The sequence below is a fragment of the Homo sapiens genome, chromosome 8 (genome assembly GCF_000001405.40).
Source record: "Homo sapiens chromosome 8, GRCh38.p14 Primary Assembly".
In the NCBI taxonomy this organism is placed as follows: Eukaryota; Metazoa; Chordata; class Mammalia; order Primates; family Hominidae; genus Homo; species Homo sapiens.
In genome coordinates, this window is record NC_000008.11 from 11568110 (window position 1) to 11590808 (window position 22699).

A 22699-nucleotide genomic window follows, 5' to 3' on the forward strand; every position below is an offset into this window, starting at 1 on the left:
GCTCTGCGGTTCAGAGCTTTGTTCTCTCTTTGCTGCTGTGATCTGTTTTGTCTACAGTAGTGGCCCCTTATCTAAGGTTTCAGTTACCAGCGGTCAACTGCGGTCCCAAAATATTACATGCAATAAGATATTTTGAGAAAGAGAGAGAGAGGGAGGCCACATTCACAGAACTTTTATTCTAGTATATTGTTATAATTTTCTATTTTATTCTTAGTTATTGTTGTTAATCTCTTACTGTGCCTAATTCATAAATTAAACTGCATCATAGAGATGTGTGTATAGGAAAAACAGTGTATACAAGGTTCGGTACTATCTGCAGTTCAGAGCATCTAGATAGTTTGGGGGTCTTGGAATGTATTCCCTGTGGATAAGGGGGACTCCTGTACTTTCACGCTCTTCCCACCCTCGGGGCAGAACTTCCAAAAGAGCACACGGGGTCAGAAGCCAAGGACCTAGGCAGCCTGGCACTCTCCGGCTGTGTGACTTTGAGTGAGTGACTCCATTCTTCTGAACCCTGATTTCCTTGTCTATAAACAGAGGGCAGTGAGGCCTCCTTGCAGGGTTGCTTTAAGGATTTAAGGAGTATTTTGGAAATGGAATAGTGTATTCGTTTCCTAGGACTACTGGAACAAATACCACAGGCGAGTGGCTGAAAACTTAAAAGTTGATTGCCTCACAGTTCTGGAGGCTGGAAGCCTCAGATTAAGCTGCGTGCAGGGTCGGTTTCTCCTGAGGTCTCTCTCCTGGGCTCATAGATGGCCACCTTCTCCCTGTGTCCTCATGTGGTCGTCCCTCTGTGTGTGTCTATGTCCTCGTTGCCTCTTCAAGAATACCAGTTATATTGGACTAGGGCCCACCCATACGACCTCACTTTACTCATCGATTTTTAAAAAGCCTATCTCCAAATACCATCACATTCTGAGGCAGTTGGGTTAGGGTTTCAATATAGGAATGTGGAGAAGAGGAGATACAGTTCAGCCCTTGAACCATAACACATAAACATATGTGTTATTTCTGCTTTTGTTTCTTTCACTCTACCTGCCATGTGGTAGGTATCCATGTATTCTTGTGACTCATTGATTAGTTTCAAAATCAAGAATATTTGGTGTGAATAAATGTGCCATCTACAAATAAGAAAGACCCAAAGGTAAGCTGGAACACCAGTAGAGCAGTCTTAAGCAAATTCACGTATGAAAATCCGGATTTCCTCCAAAGATAAAACCGCCTTTAATGAAATATTTTATAAAAGTTTCCACCACTTATTCCATTAGATACTAAAAAACCAGGACTCGAGTTTCCCCAGGACTCATGATGTCGTTTGTTTTTTTTTTTTTTTAAGGTAGTAAAATACATACACATAACATAAAATTTGCAAGCATAGGCATTTGCTGAGTGTTCCATGCAGTGGTACATTCACACTGCTGTGTAGGTGCCACACCATCATCTCCAGGACTTTCTCATCTTCCCAAACTGAAACTCTGTCTCCATTAAATGCTAACGCCCCATTCCTTCCCGCCCCCAGCCTGGCAACCCACACTCTACTTTCTGTCTGTAAGAATTTGATTCTCTAGGGACCTCAAGAATCGTGCAGTATTTGTCCTTTTGTGACTGGGTCATTGCTCTTAGCATAGTGTCTTCAAGGTTCATCTATGTTGTAACATGTCAGAGTTTCCTGCCTTTTTAAGGCTGAATAAGACTCCCCTTTATGGATACATCACGTTTTGCGTATCCATTCGTCAGTCGATGGACACTTGGGTCGTTTTCACCTTTTGGCTGTTGGGAATAATGCTGCTGTGAGCCTGGTGTGCAAATGTCTCCATGAACCTGCTGGACCAGATGGCAACTTTAGGTTGAATGTTTTGAGGAGCCGCACGCTGCTTTTCCCATCGGCTGCGCCATTCCGCATTCCCATCAGCTGTTCACAGCTTCCAGTTTCTCTGCCTCCTCTGTTATTCTCTGTTGCTTGAAATAGTTGCCATCCTAGTGGGTGTGAGGCTTGTGGTATTGTTTTAAGAGCAATAACTGCATGTTTTTAACTTTGGTCCCCATGGCACCTCAGCCCTCTTTGAAATGCCCCCACGCGTTTTAGGGGTTCAGGGATGTTCGCTTCAGGGCCTGGCTGGGAGGAGCCCGCTCACGCTGGGGGCAGGAGTCCTTCCCTCTGGAAGAGCCCCTGGCTCTGTTCTTGGGAAAGAACCTTTTTCTTTCTTCCCCTGGGCAGGTCTGCCCTGTGCTGCCTCAGGGTCAAGGGGCAGTTGGTCGATATCCTCACCAGACATCTCCAGGCGGGTCTGCATCCTGGTGGGCACGTGCTCAGACCCCCACCCCAAAATGTTCACAAAGACTGCCTGGACACACAGCATCTCAGGCAAAGCAGGCAAGAACCATGCCTAGCTCCAGGCACTCAGTCTCAGGTGGCAAGGACAGAGAGCAGAAGGCAGCGCCACTACGACCCACGGGCAGATCAGGGAAAGCAGAAGCACCGGGCCCCTGACCTGGGCTGTGGGCACTCTCCACAACATCGCTGGGATTGCAGAGTCACCCGACTTAAAGGTTGAAACTTCATACCATTCTTAGAATCTTTAGACAGCTAAAGAGACCTTCATACTCAGTCACCGTGTATCGAGTGTAAAGTGCTGATGACTCGAGCAATCCCAAGAGGTAGGTGTCTGATCCTTATTTTACAGAGGAGGAAGCTAGGGCCCAGAGAGGGTAAGTAACTGGCCCAAGGCCACACAGCTGATAAATGGCAGAGCAGGGACCCACTGCTCGCAGCCTTTCTTCCAGAATGGCATAGCCACCGCACTCCACATTTTACAAAGGGGTTTCCCGTGCCTTGCCTCGGGGGCTCCTCACAGCAGCCTCTTGAAGGTGTGGCATCTTCATTCTGTTCAGTCTGGACAGAAGAAAGGCAGAGATGCTGAGCCTGTCACCCACATCACATCCCTAGAAATGATGGGGGGCAGTCCTTGAATCCTGAGCTCAGCTCCATGGCCAGCACTTGAGGGGCCCCAAAGGATAGTGAGATTAAACGTGCTCTTGAGCACTTGAGGAACAAGGCAGACATAACCCATGGGGCCTGTCCAGTGGCCCTCAGGGGGCAAACCTTTTAATAAGGTTAAGCAAACTGCTGAGAGGATGACAGGAAGGTTCGTGAAAGCCTGGTGGAAAAGATTCCAGGAAGAGAAACATCTGGTGCGGATGGGGCCACCAGGCTTAATGGATCCGCATTCTCATTGCAGTATGGCAGCCCCTGGAGGGGTGAATTGGCCAGTCCCCGTGCAGGAGGCCAGGTGCTCTACTGATGATTCAGAGAGAGGCAGCTCCACCTGACATCAGTCGGAGACCAAAAAAATAGCCCTGGGCGAGTATTCAGGAGAGCACAGGGAGATGTTAAAATTTGTGGGTGCACACAGAAAATTTCCAACTGGCACCGTGGGGACTTCGTGGCCTCTCAGGCTTTCACTTGACCCTGCGGAGATAGCAGAGCCCCACTCCCAGGGAGCTCTGCCATGCACCCTGTTTGACAGAAGCAAAGGCCTCCCCACGCTCACAGACACAGATGCTGATGTCAGCTCCCCTGCCGGTCACACCACCGAGCTGTGTGATGTGCTGGGGACTATGCTCACACGGCAGGTGCATGGTCCCATTAAGCCAGCACGACCGCCCTTAGGAGTAGATCGTTACTGGTCCCATTTTGTAGATGAAAAAATGGAGGATCCAAAAATTGAGGCCATCTGCCAAGCCCACGCAGCTGGGACACAAGCCCAGGTCAGCCTGGCCTCCTGCCAGGCCTCAGCAGAGCCGCCTCCAGCCAGAGCTTCTCGGGAGGGGCGGGGAACAAGGCTCTGAGGCTGCAGGTCACACAGTGAGCAAGAGCCAGAGCTGGAGCTGGCCCCAGGCGCCGCCAGGCTTGTGCCCCGCCCACACCCCTCTGGCCTGGCCTCCTTGCCAGTTGCAGGTCATGTCGTAGAAGAGCAGGCTTTGGAGGAGTCAGGCAGGGCTTACTTCACCTCTTGGTTCTGCCTGCTATCAGTTATGGGATTCTTGGCAAATTTTGTAACCTCTCTAAGCCTCAGTTTCATTACCTTTAAAATGGACATAAGCATACCTGTCTCAAAGGGAAGCTGGGGATGAACTAAGATAATGTACGCAAAGCTTTGGCCACAATGGGGTGCACACAGCAGGATGTCAATATATGCACACTCCCTTTCCCCATACACCCTTGACAGCAGAGGCCCAGGCCAGACAGCACCTTCCCTGGGGGCACCTAGGAGCCTGGTCTGCCAGTCCCCTGGTCTCCCTTCCCAGTCTGGTCCCATCCTCCTCCATTTCCAATCAGCAGCTTGGCCCCTGGGCCACCAGGCCCCTGTGGGCTGCAGAGGCTGACAGGGGCTGATGGGAGCCAGCCCCAGGGGGGTTGAAGGCTGATTACTGAGGACTGATGAGGTGAAGAGGGACTGCTGCCTAGAGCTGACAGCCTTGCCTGGGAGGAAGGACAGGCAGGAGGGCAAGGAGAACACTCCAGTCTCAGCCTGACATCTCTGGAAGGGCTAGGGGTCCATCTAGGGGCATCTCTGTTGGTGCCTTCTTTTCTGTGCCAAGGTCACTCCACTGCTCTTGGTTAAAATTAGCCTCCTGCTCACTGCTCTGGACTGAGTGGCCTTTCCTCATGACCAGTAGGACCTGGTCTTGCACAGGCAGGGCTGGGCTACATGCCCTCGGCTCTCCAAAGAGCAGATACAGTACATGCCCGGCGCCTTGGAGGCTGGAGCAGGGTGGGGTGTGTGCATGCACATGTGTACCTGTGCCCGTGGTGGGTGTGCCTACAAGTCTAACTAACCAAACCAGGGTGTCTAGGAAGGTGACAGTTGTGGAATTGTGCAAGCATTTCATCAGCAGCATCATTCCTAGGTTGTGTTATTTCTTGCTTATCTCCAAGGCTCCCATGTAATGGCTGATGGCCTCAGCTTACTCATTTCTAGCCCCAAGCATTAAACACTTGGCCCAACTCCACCCACACATCACCCCTGAGATTAAGAAAGTGCTCTCAAAGGATATTTGTCAAATACGCAAAGGAATGGGGACAAGTCACTATCTTATTCTTTGTCCATATCCCATACCTGGTAACATCTTAATCCAAAACTACACACTCAGTCAGGGCTCAGGCAAGGATGATTTGAGCTGGGAGAAAAGCCAGCTGAGGTTGAAAGGAAGAGAAGCACAGTGGTCAAGGCTCTGGGGCCAGTTGGATGTGGGCTCAAGTCCTGCCCAGCCACATGGCCTTCTGCAAGCAGTCACCTCCCTAAGCCTGTTTCCTCACTTGTCAAGCACATTTGCTAAGCAGCAGCCTTGCCCAGAGTGGACGAGACGGTGCCTCTCCAGTGCTCAGCAGAATGCCTGGCACAGTTAGGTATACAACAGAAGGAAGTTGTTAGTATTTTTACTGGATGTCAGCGAAAAAAAAAAATGTGGATTAAACCCTTAGAAACAGAGGATAGCATTGTTGCTAATCCTGCAGAGGGAAACCTGACGAAGGACGTTGTGAACAAAGTTAAAGCAAGTGTCAGGCAGGAAGATAATATTTGCAGTGCCTGTATAACGAAGGATTACTGCAAAGAAAACTGAAGAAGTTCTTCCTGTTCCTAAACAACCCAAAGACAAATGAGCCAACGATAAGAATGGGCACTGCACAGAAAGAGGATTAGAACAGCTAATAAATAAAGCAAACAGTGCCCAGCCACACCAGTCCATGGAAAAATGCAGTTGAAATAGTAGTGCCAGATACTTTTACCATCAGGTGGCAAAATGGCAATACTGCTTATATCCAATAATACTGGTAAAGATATGGAAAACTGTTGCTCTCATAAAGTTTAATGGCCGTGTAATTTGATAAAGCCTTTTGGGGAAGCATTTTTGGCATCCAAAATGTTGACGCATACACACACTGATGAAGCTACTGCATTTGTAGAAAACTATCCTACGGTAAGATATGCCCTTATTCCCAAAGATAAACATACGATATTCTTTACTGCAACTTGTTTGTAATTACAATGGGAACAACTTAATGGTACAAGAGGGTAGCTGAAAGAAGTGGGGCACAATTTTTTTTCCTTGTTTAATTGTCCGAAGGGCCAGCTAGAAGGGCATAATTATTTTATTAACTACTATTCTGCCATTAAAATGAATGGGCATGCCAGGGATGGTGGCTCATGCCTATAATCCCAGCACTTTGAGAGGCCAAGGCAGGAGGGTCTCTTGAAGCCAGGAGTTTGAGGCCATCCCCTGGAAAACATAGCAAGACCCTGTCTCTGCAGAAAATATTAAAAAAAAAAAAAAAAAACTTAAAAAAATGAATGGGCACATCCATAGGTTCTGATTTTGACACATGGCCAAGACTATCAAGTGAGGGGAAAGGGTGCAGAAAAACACATACATGCAGCATGATGTACACACACACACACACACACACAATTTTATGTTCATCACACACATGCATATTTGTGTAAACATGCAGCAAAGGGATCCCAGTGATACCAACCAAAGAGAGCCCCGTGACCTCCGAGGAGGGAGCGGCTGGGGCTGTCAGCGCAGAGGGATAAGGAAGGGCGCTGGCATTTTACCCGCATTGCTGGAGTCTTCTGTAGTGAGAGTGCATTAATGCATTCGGAGAAGAAAAAAGCCAGGCCGGCAGGCAGTGATGGATGGTTCGGTGCAATTGTGCCTGGTGGCAGAGAATGGATGACGTGACCCCTGGGGTTGGGTCCCGCCCTGGGGCTCTAGCGGCCCCCTCCAGCCCCTTCCCTGCCCACTTCCTCTCCCGATAGCGCCCTCCCCCAGGTTATCAGTGGGGAGGCCACCCCACACCACACTGCCTTCCCTGTGCCCGCCGCGGAGCCCTCAGAACAGTCCATCACCGCTTATCGTCCCTGTCCCTGTGCCAGAGAGGCTGCTGGGGGGTCCAGGCCGTGCACCCACCAGCCGAGAGGACTGGCCCCTCCCCTCCACCCAGGCCAGCATCCTAATTTGGGGGAGGGGACTTCTGGCCACTAGGGACAACTCCATGGCTATGACATCCCAAGGAGGGCATTCTTCAGAACCCCCACTTCCTACAATAACAGTCACGGCGCCTGGCATTGATGGCTGCCTACTAGGGCCAACCACTGTGCCTGGCAAGGGATGTTCTTTTTGTTCCTTTTCATCTTTTTTTTTTTTTTTTTTTTTTTTTAAGACAGGGTTTCGGTCTTGTTGCCCAAGCTGGAGTGCAGTGGCGCAATCTCAGCTCACTGTAACCTCCACCTCCCGGGTTCAAGTGATTCTCCTGCCTCAGCCTCCTGAGTAGGTGGGATTACAGGCACTCACCACCATGCCCGGCTAATTTTTGTATTCTTAGTAGAGACAGGGTTTCACCATGTTGGCCAGGATGGTCTCGAACTCCTGACCTCAGGTAATCCACTGACTTCGGCCTCCCAAAGTGCTAGGATTACAGGCGTGAGTCACCGTGCCTGGCTCCTTTTCATCTTTACACAATCCTAACTAACTTCAGAGATGGGGAAACACTCAGAGATAGTAAGTAACCCAGGTCACCAGAAGATACACAGCAGAACCAGGACCAGGTCACCAGAACCCAGGTTTGTGCTGTGACTGCAAACACAGTAACAGGTCACTGCAGAGTCTTCTGCCCGGAAAGCAGGGGTCCCGGTGAACCTAGTTAGTGCCACCCTGGCTCTCCCACAGTGTCCCTCATGATAAGTGGTGACACACTCTGCCCCCTTATCCTTGGCAGTGAGCGAGGGACCCTCTCCATTGCGGGTGGTGAGACGTGGTGCTCACAAAGGCATCACTAACTTGAGCCCAGTAACAGAGAATGGGAGTCTTCCCGGCTTTCCCGGCAGTGGGTCAGGTGGAAAGAGCCCTTCATGGAGTCAGAGCCCTGGCAGGGCCCACGGCCTCTGGAGCTCAGCTGTGCGGTTTCCCAGCCTCACTTTTCTCATCTGTAAAGCAGGTACAGGAGAAGTCCCAATGGGAGTAAGGGAGATGTCAAATGTATGCCAAGCCCTGTGATACCAAGTACATGAAAACCAAGCACCTCGAACCCAGCTGGCCCGAGTGCCAGGAACTGGGCACTGTTGTCATGGAAACCAAGCACCTAGAACCCAACTGGCCCCAGTGCCAGCAACTGGGCACTGTCCTCATGGAAACCAAGCACCTCAAACCCAGTTGGCCCCAGTGCCAGGAACCGAGCACTATTGTCATGTAGACCAAGCACCTCGAACCCAGCCGGCCCCAGTGTTAGGAACCGGGTACTGTCGTCATCAGCATCAGGGTCAACCTCTGGACCCTGGCTTCCTCAGCATTAACAGGAAAGGTTAGAAGCCCTGTTAGGTCTCTTCCAACTTTGTCTATAACTCTGAAAAAGCAACGTGGAGTTTCTCTGGCACACTCTTTGAGGAAATAGAATTCGCCAAACCAATGCAAATGGAGAAATATATTTCACCTGAGTAGGGAAGAAAAACCTTGTAAAGGCTTCCAAGAACCTCCAGAAACCTACTGGATGAGCTTACCACTAATCTCTTTTAAAGCAATTCCCTGACAACACTCTGTTAATCTCTCCTGAGCTCCTTAGTACCCCCTGAAAGTAGCAGGACAGCCTTACTTTCCAAATCTTCACCTTTGCAAGAGTCTAGTCTGTGAGTCCAGGCTCACCTGAAGTCTGAGATTTTGGGAGCTTTGGAGAATTCTGGATAAAATCCCTTACTGGACTTAGCAGGAATCTCCGATCTGTGGAGAAGTCTCCTCAGAGACTGAGCATCTGTTCCTAGCTCCCTCCGGGCTCTGATGCCATTAATGACTGCAGGAAGCTGTTCCAGGCCTCAATACAGAAAGAACCCTTAGACCCTCAGAGCTGGAGGTGTGCAGACTGGTCTCTGCCTGGGCTCAACCTCTGTGATTTCTGGCAAGTTACTGAAATTCTCTGTGCCTCAGGTTTCTTTTATGAAAATTATAACAGTTTTATCTCCTAGGGTTATGGTGAATACCTAGGGCAGGACCGGGCACTTAGAAAGCTCTCATCCAATGTCCCCTAACTCTTGGAGACAATAATCAAGACTTAGAGGAACTGACTGGGGGAAACGTCAACACTTTCTTGGTTCTCTCAGAGGCCGGTGGAGACGCTGCTCCATTCTGCCTGGATCATTTCCCAGGGCAGGTAAAAGTGGTGGGACCCCTCGCCGGGAGGCCAGGAAAGATGCAAAGATGGATGGATGGGTGTGTTCCCCAGGAGTGAGTGTGTCCTGGGGTGGGTGGGTCACGGGGAGTGGGGTGTCATGAAGGCGGGTGGCTATGGTACCATGACGGGGGTGGTTATGGGAAGTGCTGTAGAAGTGTGGGTGTGTTATAAGAAGTGGGGTTTCAGAGGGCTGGGTGGGCTGTAGGGGTCTGTCCAAGAGGAATAGGACTAGAGTTGAGGGGAGCAATCTTCCAAGTCCAGAGCACCCTCAACCCAGCAAGCCTGAACAAGTGTGTAGGGCCTCTGGCAAAATAATAGCCAGGCAGACGGGCAGAAGAGATGGAGCAGGCCAAGCGTCGGATGGAGAGAGGTGAACATGGCCACCACAGTGTCTGGCAGTGGCCTAGGCATCTCTAGGGCCCAGCAGTGGAGCTGGGGTAGGGGTGGCTGATCCCGAAGTGTTCTGTTCTGGCCGTGCATCTTCATGGAGACTTTCTGAGCTGAACTGGGTTCTCGGTGATTCCAACTCACTCCCCACAGACTTACCCGGCACTGAGTGCAGGCCTGGAGGGAGACACTTCACTTAGATCCTTTCACCGGATGGCATGATAATGCTGTGGGAAGGTACAGATGAGGAAACCAAGGCTCATGGAAGTTGCGTGAATTGCTCCAGGTCACAAGGCTTTTGACCTCCAGTCCAGCGTCCTTCCTGCGTTCCCCCATTGGCAAGGTTTGCCAACAGGGTGGGCCCAGCTGCTCCCAGCACAGCTGGCCCTGGAGAGCACTTTGCAGGGACAGAGTCAGCCACGTGAGAAAGGACTTGGCATACTGTAGGATTTAAGGGTTCTAATCAGGGCTTCCCAGCAAATTCTGTTGGGCCAATGTGGACCTCTCAAGTATGAGGTTGGACCATATAAAACTGCAATTCTGTAGATCAAAAATCATTGAATATTAGCAATTTCATACAGTTCACCCTAACAGTGTTTGGGGGGAAAAGCCCACAGAATGCATGACTTGCCCTTTTCTTGCAGTATGAGACAGGCCTTCATCAGAAAGGCCGGGCCTGTGGATGGAGGCAGGGGGCTGATGGAAATGACCTCTGTGCAGCTAAGGATGCTATGCTTTGTTTCTTGAGCTGAACTGCAATTGTGCCCAGCCTTCCTGGGACAAGGGTGGGAACTCAGGAGTTACTACAACCACCGCCACCCCACCCTGGGAAGGCCATTTGTGGTCTTGGACAAGTTCCCTCCCACGTGGCTGGACGAGCCCTCAGGCGACAGCTGCGTTCTGTCGAGGAAGCCACGTAAGTGGGGCGGGGCTGGGGTGGGATGGGTGGTGGGCCCTGTACCCACTGACCATGAAACACTCCACCCTCTTCCCCCTCGGTGTTCTGAGTGCCTGTGTCACACCAGCATTCCCACCGCAGATGCAGCTGGAAAGGCGCCAGTGGGAATTTCAGTGGGCTCCCATCCCGGGCAGTGGAGTGAGGCAGGGCTCCAGGGGTCCCTGGATGCAGCCACGCCTGGATGCAGGTCCTGGCTCTGCCCCTCCCCAGGGCATAGTAACCTCAGGCATGTGGCTGACCCTCTCTGCTGTGCCTCAGTTTCCACAGCTGCACAATCTGGTTAGTAACAGGCCCACCCCGCTGGGCTGTGGTGAGGACACTCGAGATGGTGTTTGTGAAGTGTTCAGTCGAGGTTGGCCAGTGTTTTGGTTGCCGTCCACTCAAGCAGTGGGCATTCAGTACACACCTGTGTGGAGCCAAGAATGGACCAAGCCTGAGGGGTCCTTCCCCCTGGCTCCCCCTTTGCTTCAACTCCACCTTGTCTGGCTGCATCGTTGGTGGTCTGGGCCCACCGCATAACTGTCTCCCTGGGACAGCTTTGGGGTCAGGGGGGTCAGCCTGGGGCCAGCAGCTGGTCCGGTATGTCCACTCTCCCCACTGCTGGGAGGGGCTGTGTTGGAAGCTCGGGGCTGTCACCTCAGTGAAGATGGTGTAAACACCAGGCATCCGCAGCCAATCTGGATGAGCTGGGCATGTCTCCCTGGGCTGGGAGCCTCAGGCTTGGCTGAGAATGGCAACATCCCAGCCTAGGAGGGCCTGATCCAAGGACCCAGGGCCTCACAGGTGTGTTAACACACCTTGTGCATGTGGCATGTTCAGGGATGTTCTCTGAACGCTACCCATCTGGCTTTCTACTTACTCCTGGCATGCTCCCATATTGTCCTTTGAATTTCATGGAACCTCTATAAACCTTAGTCTTCTCTTCTACAAACAGAGAATAATCCTCCTACCTCCCTACCATGGCCTGGAACGGTCATGAGCATTCAGTTAGTTGCACAGTGCACAATGCAGTGCCCAGGCACAGAGAAGCACTCAATACTAGTGAGCACCCAGAAGTTTTGCCCTCTCTGATAGTGTTTTTCCAGATGCTAAGGTCCCTAGGATGAGCCACAGGGGCAGTCCAGCCTGTGGCATCTGCCAGTGAGGAGAGTGTCACAATGGTGTCCCAGAACTTTGAAGCTGAAAGACTGCTGTTGAACTGGGCTGGTCCAGTCCTCAGTCCAGTCCTCTACATTATGAAGGACTCCGGGTGGGTCAATCAGTATGGACTGCTATAATGAAGTGCCAGAGGCTACACAGCTTATGAGCCATGGAAATTTATTTCCTGCAGCTCTGAAGCTAGAAGTCTGAGGTCAGCTGCTGGCATGTTTTGGTGGCTGCACACTGCTGACTTCTGGCTGTGCCCTCAACTGCCAGAAAGAAGGCAAGAGAGCACATTGGGTTCCCTTTTATAAGGGCAGTAATCCCATTTGTGAGGGCTCCACCCTCATATCCTCATCACCTCCCAAAGGCCCCATATGAATTCAGAATTCAATGTGTAAATTATAGGGGGACACAAACATTCAATTTCAATGAAACAGGCCTTAGTTAAAGAGCCCAGGTTGCATTTCACCAGCCGTGTGACTGTGGAGCAGGCACTCAACTGCCCTGAGCCTGTGTCCCGGTCTTCATGTGGGCATTGGAAAAATAACACCTGCTCCACCAACCTCACACAAATGAGATGAAATACAAGAAAATGCTTCATGAATTTAAAAAGTTCTCACTAGTTATTTGCATTGTTTTAAAGGCGTAGGTAGGTGATTCCCCTACTTAATCTGGATCAGACTCACCCTGGACTAATGCCCATGCTCCTGCCTCCAGGCCCATAGAAGGAGGAGGCAACCCATCTGGATGTGTGGAGGAGGTTTTGATCTCCTCTTCTTGGTCAGAACTGCTCATAAGAATCTCCACTGCAGGATCGATATTTGCTGCCATTTCTTTTCCTCTGCACACACATTCTAGAGTAAGCAGCAAACAGAGGTGACCAGAGATGCTAGGATGGCAACATGAGGGGTCTGGAAAGTCTCCCACTGAGCGATCAGAAGCTGGGTTTCACATACTCACCACGGCTAGTCTAGCGAGTTTGCAGAATTCAGAAACGGGATGAGACCCTGAGGTTTGCCTTTCATTAGCCTGGCTGTCCACTTATGGGACAGTCTCTGCAGGAAGGAAGGAAACAGGGGAGGCTCCTACCTGCCCCATCAGCTCACTTTTTAAAACATGCTCACCTGGCCTCACCAAGTGAGGTGGGAGGAGAGCCCGAGATCGGTTCACTTTGTGCTTCACATGTCCTTCACATGTCACCTCTCTACTCCGTGAACTTGCAAGTCTCACCTGGGTCTCTCACTTTCCATTCCCTGTCTCTCAGATCTACTAGCACAAGGCTACAGCCACAAAGCACTTATATAGTTGGGCCCCTTTGCTGACACGTGACATGCAATTCAGGGATGCCTCCTCCTCCCCCTAGAAGTGATGAGTGCCTGCAGCTATTGTAAATGTTAAAGTAAAATTAATGTTGGTTGTACACCCATGTTCATAGCAGCATGACTCACAATAGCCAAATGTAGAAGCAATCTGTATTAGTCCGTTCTCAAGCTGCTAATAAAGACATATCTGAGACTAGGTCATTTATTTAAAAAAAATAGGTTTAATGGACTCACAGTTCCACGTGGCTGGGGAGGCCTCACAATCACAGCAGAAGGTGAAGGTGTAGCAAAGGCACATCTTACATGGCAGCAGGCAAGAGAGTGTGCAGGGGAACTCCCCTTTATAAAATGATCAGATCTTGAGAGACTTATTCACTATCATGAGAAAAGTATGGAAAAAACCTGCCCCCCCACGATTCAATTACCTCCCACTGGGTCACCCATGACATGTGGGGATTATGGGAGCTACAAATCAAGATGAGATTTGGGTGGGGACACAGCCAAACCATATCACAACCCAAGTGTGCATTGGCAGATGAATGAATAAGCAAAACATGGTCTATCCATGTGGTGGAATATTATTTAACCTCAAAAAGGAAGGAAATTGGGGCTGGGTGCAGTGTCTCATGCCTGTAATCCCAGCACTTTGGGAGGCTGAGGTGGGCAGATCACTTGAGGTCAGGAGTTTGAGACTAGCTTGGCCAATGTGGTGAAACCCTGTATCTACTAAAAATACAAAATCAGCCGGGCGTGGTGGCAGGCACATGTAATCCCAGCTACTCAGGGGGCTGAGGCAGGAGAACCCTTGAACACTGGAGGCGGAGGTTGCAGTGAGCCGAGATCATGCCATTGCACTCCAGTCTGGACAAAAAGAGTGAAACTCTGTCTCAAAAAACAAACAAAACAAAAGAAGGAAGGAAATTCTGACCTGTGCTACAACATGGATGAACCTTGAGGACGTTATGCTAAGTAAAATAAGCCAGCCACAAAAGGACAAATACTGCATGATTCCACTTATAGAAGGTCCCTAGAGGAGTCAAATCCAAAGACAAAGTCGAGGTTGCCAGGGTCTGGGGGAAGGGGAATGGGAAGTTAGTGTTTAACGGGTGCAGAGCTTCAGTATGGAAAGATGGAAAAGTTCTGGAGATGGATGGCAGTGATGATACAACAATGTGAATGTTCTTAATGCCACAGAAGTGTACACATAAAAATGGTTGAGGTGGTAAATTTTAGGTGTATTTTATCACAATAAAACAGAACTTTAAAAAAATGAAAGTTGGTGCCTAACTTGGCAAATTAGTAGCCCTCAAAAGTGTTCACTGAACAAGTTATTTTTGTTTTGGACTCTGGGACAGCCATGTGGATGCCTGGAGAGAGCTGGCATGTCACTTGCAGCTGAGTCCCCTGGGTCCGAGGCGGTGCCTGGCACACGGTAGGTGCTCAGCAGATGTTTGAGGAGGGAATGAATTGAGAAGGTCAAGTGGAAACCCCTGCTTGACCTTATTTCTACCTCCTACCCCACCCACTGTCTTCCCTTCCCCATCGCCATCACAGAGCAGACTCAGCTCTGATGCCCCAAGTTGCAGAGACCTTGAGGAGTCATGTTGTTCATCGTCCTCCCTCAGGAATAAATGTAGCAGACAATCAGTGTCTGTGCTTTTTAAATCCCTCTGGGTCGTGTTTTTAATGCTCTGTGATTGATGGGACATTCCTCCATGAGTAATCCCGGTTTCTTTCACTGTGGTTGAAACCTCCCACATCCACGGTCCAATTCTTTCCCCATGAGAAATGGGAGAGGGAGCTCTGAGAGCAGATGGGGTCTGCCACCAGGGCTAGGGTGAGGGAAGTGATGAGAGTGGGACTCAGCCACCTCTCAAAGACTGTCAGCCCAGGCACTATGTTAACGGTAGTAAGGGGACCACTCCTGGAGGCAGGAGATGGGTTATGTGACCTTGGGAGGTCCCCTTCCCAAGTTGCAGGGATTCCTGGAGTCTGTGAGGCTACCTGCAGATGCTCCAGGGTCAGGCTGCATGAGCGGCCACTCGGGAGCTTTCCCTGCTGAGTGTGTTCCTAAAAAGCAAAGGAGGCCAGTTAGTGACTGCCGAGTCTCATGGAAAACCCAGAGAAATAATTGTACAGCAAAAGAGCACAGAGGGAAAATATTAACAAATAATGCAAAACTCACAAATTAGGAAAATGAATCCAATCTGCTAACCAGAAAGAAGAGAATCCCTGCCTAAGAGAAGGCCTCGCTTGAGGTTCAGTGAGTTTCCCACACATCTTAGAGATTATGAATAACTAGTATGATTAGTATAAGAAGGCAATGTAAGCGCAGCAGATGCATGGCTAATTAAATATGCAAGCAGAACATACATCGCCATGGCCATGATGACATTCTCCCAAGTGCCATCCCGCTGCTGTCTTCCAGCAAGCGTGCTTCATAGGAGAACTGATAAAGAAATTTCCCAAAAGCGTGCACCGTAGAACTCTATGTAAAGATGGACTTCTTTACAAAGAGAAAAGATGGCAGTGATCAAATGAGTTTGGGAAATGCTTAAATTTATATCTGCCCCTTAGATATTAATACATGTTAGCATAGTAAAAGATTTTTAAAACACTGCAATAAAGACATCTGTTTTATTTGCTTCATCTAGCATTTCCCCAAATTAATTTTGTACAAAAAACACTTGTCCGCCAATATCTATCATTCTGTGGAAATGGAATTTCTTGGGGGCATATCTGGGAAGCACTTAAGTACATCATTCGAATGCACATGAATTATTCAATGATTCATTAAACTGTGCTCATTCACTGAGACTGGCTGTGCTGTCCGGCACTAGGAATACAGAGATGGGTGAGACATGGTCTATGCCCACCAGAAACTCAGTGTCTAGGGGATGCCATGGGCAACTGGTTTAGCAGGGGCTGTGTAATGCAACCTAACAATTGGATAAGAGTTGGAATGGAGGGAAGGACACAGGAAGTCACCTGCCTCCCAGGCCAGACACTCAGGGAAGGCTTCCGATAGGACATGGTGCTTGAGCTGAGCTTTGAGAGCAAGTAGAGGGTCTTGCCAAGCTGATGCTGGGAGAGGGACATTCTAAGAAGAAGCTCATGCAAGGGCTCAGAAACGTGAGCTAAAAGAGGCTACAAGGAAGGGCGCACATTAAAAGAATGTGAAGAGGAGAGGCCAGAGAAGACTGGGGAGAGATCAAGGAACCCACCACCTTTGGGAGTTTAGACTCCATCCTAAAGACAATGCAGTATCAATGGAGGTTCTAAGTGTGTAATTGTCACTTACTGTCACTCTACATGACACTGCCAGATGGGCAGATCACTTGACATCAGCAGTTCAAGACAAGCCTGGCCAACACAGTGAAACCCTGTCTCTACTAAAAACACAAAAAACTAGCTGGGTATAGTGGCACTTGCCTGTAATCCCAGCTACACGGGAGGCTGAGGCAGGAGAATCACCTGAACCTGGGAGGCAGAGGTTGCAGTGAACCAAGATTGCACCACTGCACTCCAGTCTGAGTGACAAAGCGAGACTCCATCTCAAAAACAAACAAACAAAAAAACACAGTGAACTTCAGATCAGACCTTTGCTCCCATATGGGCATTCTCTCTTACTCCTGTGTCTCCCCTGAGCTCTCACCCAGTTGTCTCAGAGAAGGGCTCCCCCGACCCTACCTTGCTTTCTCTTGCTTTTTTCATCATTTTGTTTTGGAGTAGAGGGAGATTTTTTAATGACCTCAATCATAAATGTGAAGGGTCTGTATTAATGAAAGGAAAATGTATTCTGTTTGAAGTGGAGCAGTGTAAAAAAAACAAGCAACAGACTGGATTAAGAAAATGTGGCATTTTCTTAATGCCACATGAAGCATTAATGGTGGTATATACACTGTGGAATACTATGCAGCCATAAAAAATGATGAGTTCATGTCCTTTGTAGGGACATGGATGAAATTGGAAACCATCATTCTCAGTAAACTATCGCAAGAACAAAAAACCAAACACCGCATATTCTCACTCATAGGTGGGAATTGAACAATGAGATCACATGGACACAGGAAGGGGAACATCACACTCTGGGGACTGTTGTGGGGTGGGGGGAGGGGGAGGGATAGCATTGGGAGATATACCTAATGCTAGATGACGAGTTAGTGGGTGCAGGACACCTGCATGGCACATGTGTACGTATGTTACTAACCTGCACAATGTGCACATGTACCCTGAAACTTCAAGTATAATAATAATAAATAAATAAATAAATAAATAAAAAACCAAAAAAAAAGCAAGCAACACCAGGCACAGTGGCTCCGGCCTGTAATCCCAGCACTTTGGGAGGCCGAGGTGAGTGGATCACTTGAGGTCAGGAGTTTGAGACCAGCCTGGAGAACATGATGAAACCCCATCTCTACTAAATATACAAAAATTAGCCAGGTGTGGTGGTGCACACCTGTAGTCCCAGGTATTTGGAGGCTGAGGCAGGAGAATTACTTGAACCCAGGAGGCAGAGGTTGCAGTGAGCCAAGATGGCAACACTGCGCTTCAGCCTGGGTGACAGAGCAAGACTCCATCTCAAAAGCAAACAAACAAACAAAAAGCAATCCATCTTCACAGTACAGCACCTGCAGGTTCTTGGAAGCGCCCTTGGATGAATGCAAACGTCTCTGTAGGTATCTCTGCATTCTTTTGATTAAATTAAATTTTCCTCAGGAACTAGTATTTGGGGAAAGGAAATGATAGCTTCATCAAATTGTTTTACTTTATTTAAATTAAAGGTTCCCAACCCCTGGGCCACGGACTGGTACCATTCTGTGGCCAGTTGGGTCACGCAGCAGGAGGTGAGCGGCAGGTGAGTGAGTGAGGCTTCATCTGTATTTGTAGCTCTCCCTATCACATGCTTTACTGCCTGAGCTCCGCCTCCTGTCAGATCAGCGATGGGATTAGATTCTCATAGGAGCAAGAAGCAGCTGTGTTGCTGAAAGCCCCTATTGTGAACTGTGCGTGCAAGGGATCTGGGTTGCATGCTCCTTATGATAATCTAATGCCTGATGATCTGTCACTGTCTCCCATCACCCCCAGATGGGACTGTCTAGTTACAGGAAAACAAGCTCAGGGCTCCCACTGTTTCTACATCATGGTGGGTTGTATAATTATTTCATTACATATCACAATGTAATAATAACAGAAGTAAAGTGCGCAATAAGTGTAAAGTGCTGGAATCATCCCGAAACCATCCCTTCTCCCCAGTCTGTGGAAAAATTGGCTTCCACAAAACTGGTCCCTGGTGCCAAAAAGGTTGGGGAACTGCTGATTTAAATTACATACAAGTTTGCAACAGAATGTATTTTTTGCTGGAAATAGATGGCGTTTTAGGAAATGGGTTTGGGACATTTTTGGATTTGGAAGCATTCCATTGTTTCCACAGGGAAGCGTGTGACTAGCTCCAAATGAACCCATCCATATGAAGGCACTCCCCACATCATCAATTCCTTAGCTTTAAGGTTGAAACGGGCCCACCAGGAGAGACGGATGGATCCGGCCTGCAAGGCTCTTTCACGTGACGAAGACGGAGGACTCGCTGACTGAGCTTCTGGTTCTAGAAACAGTACCATGGACCCTGTACTGGGACACTGAGGGACACAGCAACAGAGGAGCCGAGAGCCCAAGCCACTGTGAGGCCCAATGACCTCTACAGCAACCATGCTGTGCTCACGGCGCCGGGCGGGACAGCTTACAGAACTGAAGGCAAGGTTTCCCTGGCCATTCAACAGACTTCCACGCACTTGCCATTTGCAAGTGAGACTTGCAACATGAAGCCAGATATGACTATCCAATGAGGCCCTGCAGTCGCCGTGAGGATCCACGGGAATGCACTCAAGTTATGAAACTACAGGAATATCACTGACTCACATTGCAGGCTCTTGGACCTATGAGAGGTGCTGTCTGTGCTCCTGCTCCCAGGATAAGCAGCAGGCATGGCTCCTGGGTGGCGCACCCCCACCCCCCATGCGTGTGTGCGCACACACACACATACACCCCAACATTCTCACTTAAACACTCCCCTTATTTGGGGATGAACAATGGTCTCTGCCTTCCCGGGATCAGGAGAGCTCCTGGCCGCCTCAGGGACACTTTGCTCCTCTGTGTATGGATCTCCCCCCAGCGGGATCCGGGGAGCACACTCCTGCCTGGTCCCGGAAGAATTGGGCCACCCTATAGCAACCATGATGGCGACAGGCCAGGCTGCGGGTGAATTCTACAATCCTGTGACTTTCAAAGGAGAATATTGATGATATTCAGTTTCTTTTCTTGCCTGCTTTTTTCTCATTCCTTTTCTCTACCCTCCTTTCTCTCAGGCATTCTCATTCCTTTTCTCTACCTTCCTTTCTCTCAGGCTTTCTCATTCCTGTTCCATGCCTCCTTTCTGTCTGTCAGAGGTGATTCCAGGATGTCTACAAAGAAGGGCCTTGAGGCTTTTGCCAGCTACTTGGGAGGCTGAGGCAGGAGAATCGCTTGAACCTGGGAGGCGTAGCTTGCAGTGAGCCGAGATCGTACCAGTGCACTCCAGCCTGGGCGACAGAGCGAGACTCTGTCTAAAAAAAAAAAAAAAATTTGAGAAAACAACAATTGTCCATATCAAAGACGTAAGGGTGCTGATGGAGGCCGGGGGCCCAGCTCTCACTCTCCTCTCAGCCCCCGCCACTCCCTGGCCTTCTCTGTGCCTGCATCCATACAGCCAGTGTCTCCCAGCCAGGCCACCTCCTCGCAGCCCTCCAGTCCTCAGGGTGGCTATCTGGCCACCCCATCAGCTGGACAAAGCATTTGTCAGCTCTAATGGATGTAAAACTCCCTGGCTTGACATGTTTTATGCATCCCCAGGGGCTTTGATCTCCTTGTCTGCGTACATAAATGAGAGGATTACTGAGACATCCCGAACGCGGCACCAAAAATGTCTTTCACGGAGGCGCTTTTGCCTCCAGGAGATAAGGTAACTAGCTGCCACCCCCCGGGGCCATTACGGCCTGTGCTTTGGGAGGGACTTCACTCAGGGAGAAATGTTGTCAGGAGGCTGGCCTACAAGGATCTCCCTGTCATTATTTCCCCATATTGTTTATATCTGGGCGATGTGGATAAAGAAACCGGCCACTTCTGGCACCGTCTCACCTCCCTGAAGATTACAAGCGACTGCGGCTGACATTTGCCAAGGTTTCTCTGAGTGACGTGGAGGCAGCACATGGTTACTGTCAGGGATTTCTGGGGGTGGGGGCTGGGGTAGAGCACTGGGGCGGGGACTGGTATTTTTAGGACACTCAGAGTCCTCTACTGGATTTAGGCCAGCTGTCCAGACCATTGCAGAGTGGCAATGTCATTCCTTTCATACTCCGTCTCCTGAGGGAGACCGGAAGGACAAAAGAGAGACTGGGGGCTGCTGCCCTGACCAATCCTCTGCCCCTGGAGGTAGAAGGCCGGTGTTGGAGATGGGGGCTCTTTGATGCACATCCAGAGTTTCAAGATGGCAGCCCAGATTGGGGAACCATCTGCAAGGCGAGATGGGGCCCCAGAAGTCATTTGGCTAAGCAGATTACAGCTCTGATCCCAGTTCTCTGTCCCCCACTTGTTCAATAAAGCCCATTATATGTATTAACATCATTACCATATGTGCCGCTAGGGACAGGAGATGCCAAAGAAGGCACATTCCGGCTGGGAGCAGTGGCTCACACCTGTAATCCCAGCTGTTTGGGAGGCCAAGGTGGGTGCATCACCTGAGGTTAGGAGTTCAAGACCAGCCTGGCCAACACAGTGAAACCCCCTCTCTACTAAGAATACAAAAAATTAGCCAGGCATGGTGGCGCACACCTGTAATCCCAGCTACTCCGGAGGCTGAGGCAAGAGAATCGCTTGAACCCAGGGGGCGGAGGTGGCAGTGAGCCGAGATCACACCATTGCTCTCCACCTCAGGCAACAAGAGCGAAATTCCATAATGGAAAAAAAAAAAAAAAAGGCACATTCCTTTCCTCAGTGAGCTCAAGAGCTTGACGTCATTTTCCTCTTAGTAAAATAGCTGTGTAGGCTCTATGGGTTGGAAGGGAACCTGAAAGTCTGTCCAACCCAACCCCACCTAATGTTTTAGGACTTTCTACAGTATCACTAACAAATAATCATCTGCCTCAGCTTCAATACTTCTCGTGATGGGCACCTCATTGTCATAAATCTCTGGCACTGTGGTTCCTATAGAGCTCTTTCTGTGTTGGACTCACACTTATCTGCCCGCACTGGCTCAGAGCAGCGCAAGTATGACCCGCCTCTACAGATCTCGTGTGGAGTAGCCGCTAACCCAGGGGCAGGTCATACTCCACAGCGTCAAATGCTGAAGTAAAGTTAGGTAACGTCTAAGCCACACCCCTCACTTTACCCCAAGCCACCACGAACCCCGGCTGGGCGTGTTGCTGAACTAGAAAAAGGTGCTTTTCCCCAAGACCCATTACCGCCACCTGCTGGAGGATTACCGTAATGACCTTGCATACCCCACAGCCCGCACAGCAGCCGTGGGGGGCCCTGGCTCCTCCCAGCGCCCAGCACTGCGATTCTGTTCCCTTCACTTCACCATGAGGAGGGAGAAGAAGGGATGCTCAAGACCCTCAACACTGGACGTGGATCGGTGATGTACAGGCAAAAGCCAAAGTGTATTTTTTAAAAAGCAAATAAAAAATCACTAAGCCTCTAGAGCAATCCTGCAAAATTTCAGAAAGTCTCGCACTCCTGGCTGCTTGTGGCCTCCTTCCCTGCCTCCTTTCATTTTCTTTCCTGTGTTGATTCCTCATTCCCAGGAACTGACCCCCACTGCCTCATCCTGTAGTAGATGGAGAGGCTCTGAGGCCGTGGACAGGCGTGGGCCACGCAGACATCCACTGCAGGAGAAACCAGGTTACAATTCTCCCACCCTGAGCCACCCAGGTGAGCTCCCAGGAGCATCAAGCTCAGTCATCCTCTGTGTCCGAAGAAATAGAGGCTGAGGTGGGGCTGCACTGGGGGCAAGAGGCCCAATCATTGCCTTCCAGTGGCCTCCAGCCCAGTCGAGAATCTGACTTGAACTTAACACAGACATTTCCTTCTTGAAAGAAAAGGTCACTCTATCGGTCTGATTCTTTCTGTTATTTCCAACAGGGGAATTTCAGTGCCAGGAATGTGACAGCAGGCTCCAAATCGGCAAAGACTTTGAGCACCATGTGACCTTTGCTTTCTCTCCTGTTCAAGCCACCTACGAATGCTGGGGTGGGAGAAGGGCTGTGACCTCAATGCAAGCCCCCTGGTGACACCATCCCTCCATTCCTGGATGTGCTCAGCAACCCTGTGCAGTGCAGCTGCGTGGAGGAGGTGACATTTGCACTGGGCCTTAAAAGATGGGTAGATTTAGAAAAGTGGAAACAGCCCAAGTGGTCATAGACCCATAAATGGATAAGCAAAATGTGGTCTATCCATGCAGTGAAATAGTCCTCAGCTTTAGAGAGGAATAAAATTCCGACGCGTGCTACAACGCTGGGTGAACCTCGAGGACATCATGCTAAGTGAAATAAGCCAGCCACGAAATGACAAATGCTGCATGATTCTACTTATAGGAGGTCCCTAGAGGGGTCAAATTCATAGAGACGG

At 49.8% G+C, this 22699-nt stretch overlaps 1 long non-coding RNA gene across 1 annotated transcript; it reads left to right on the plus strand.

Annotated features, from left to right (window-relative positions):
* LINC00208 (long intergenic non-protein coding RNA 208) lies at positions 8426 to 13232 on the plus strand. Its single transcript, NR_040035.1, has 3 exons — positions 8426 to 9208; positions 10261 to 10532; positions 12361 to 13232. It is a non-coding gene; the product is annotated as a long intergenic non-protein coding RNA 208 (long non-coding RNA).
* The last annotated feature ends 9467 nt before the right edge of the window (positions 13233 to 22699 follow it).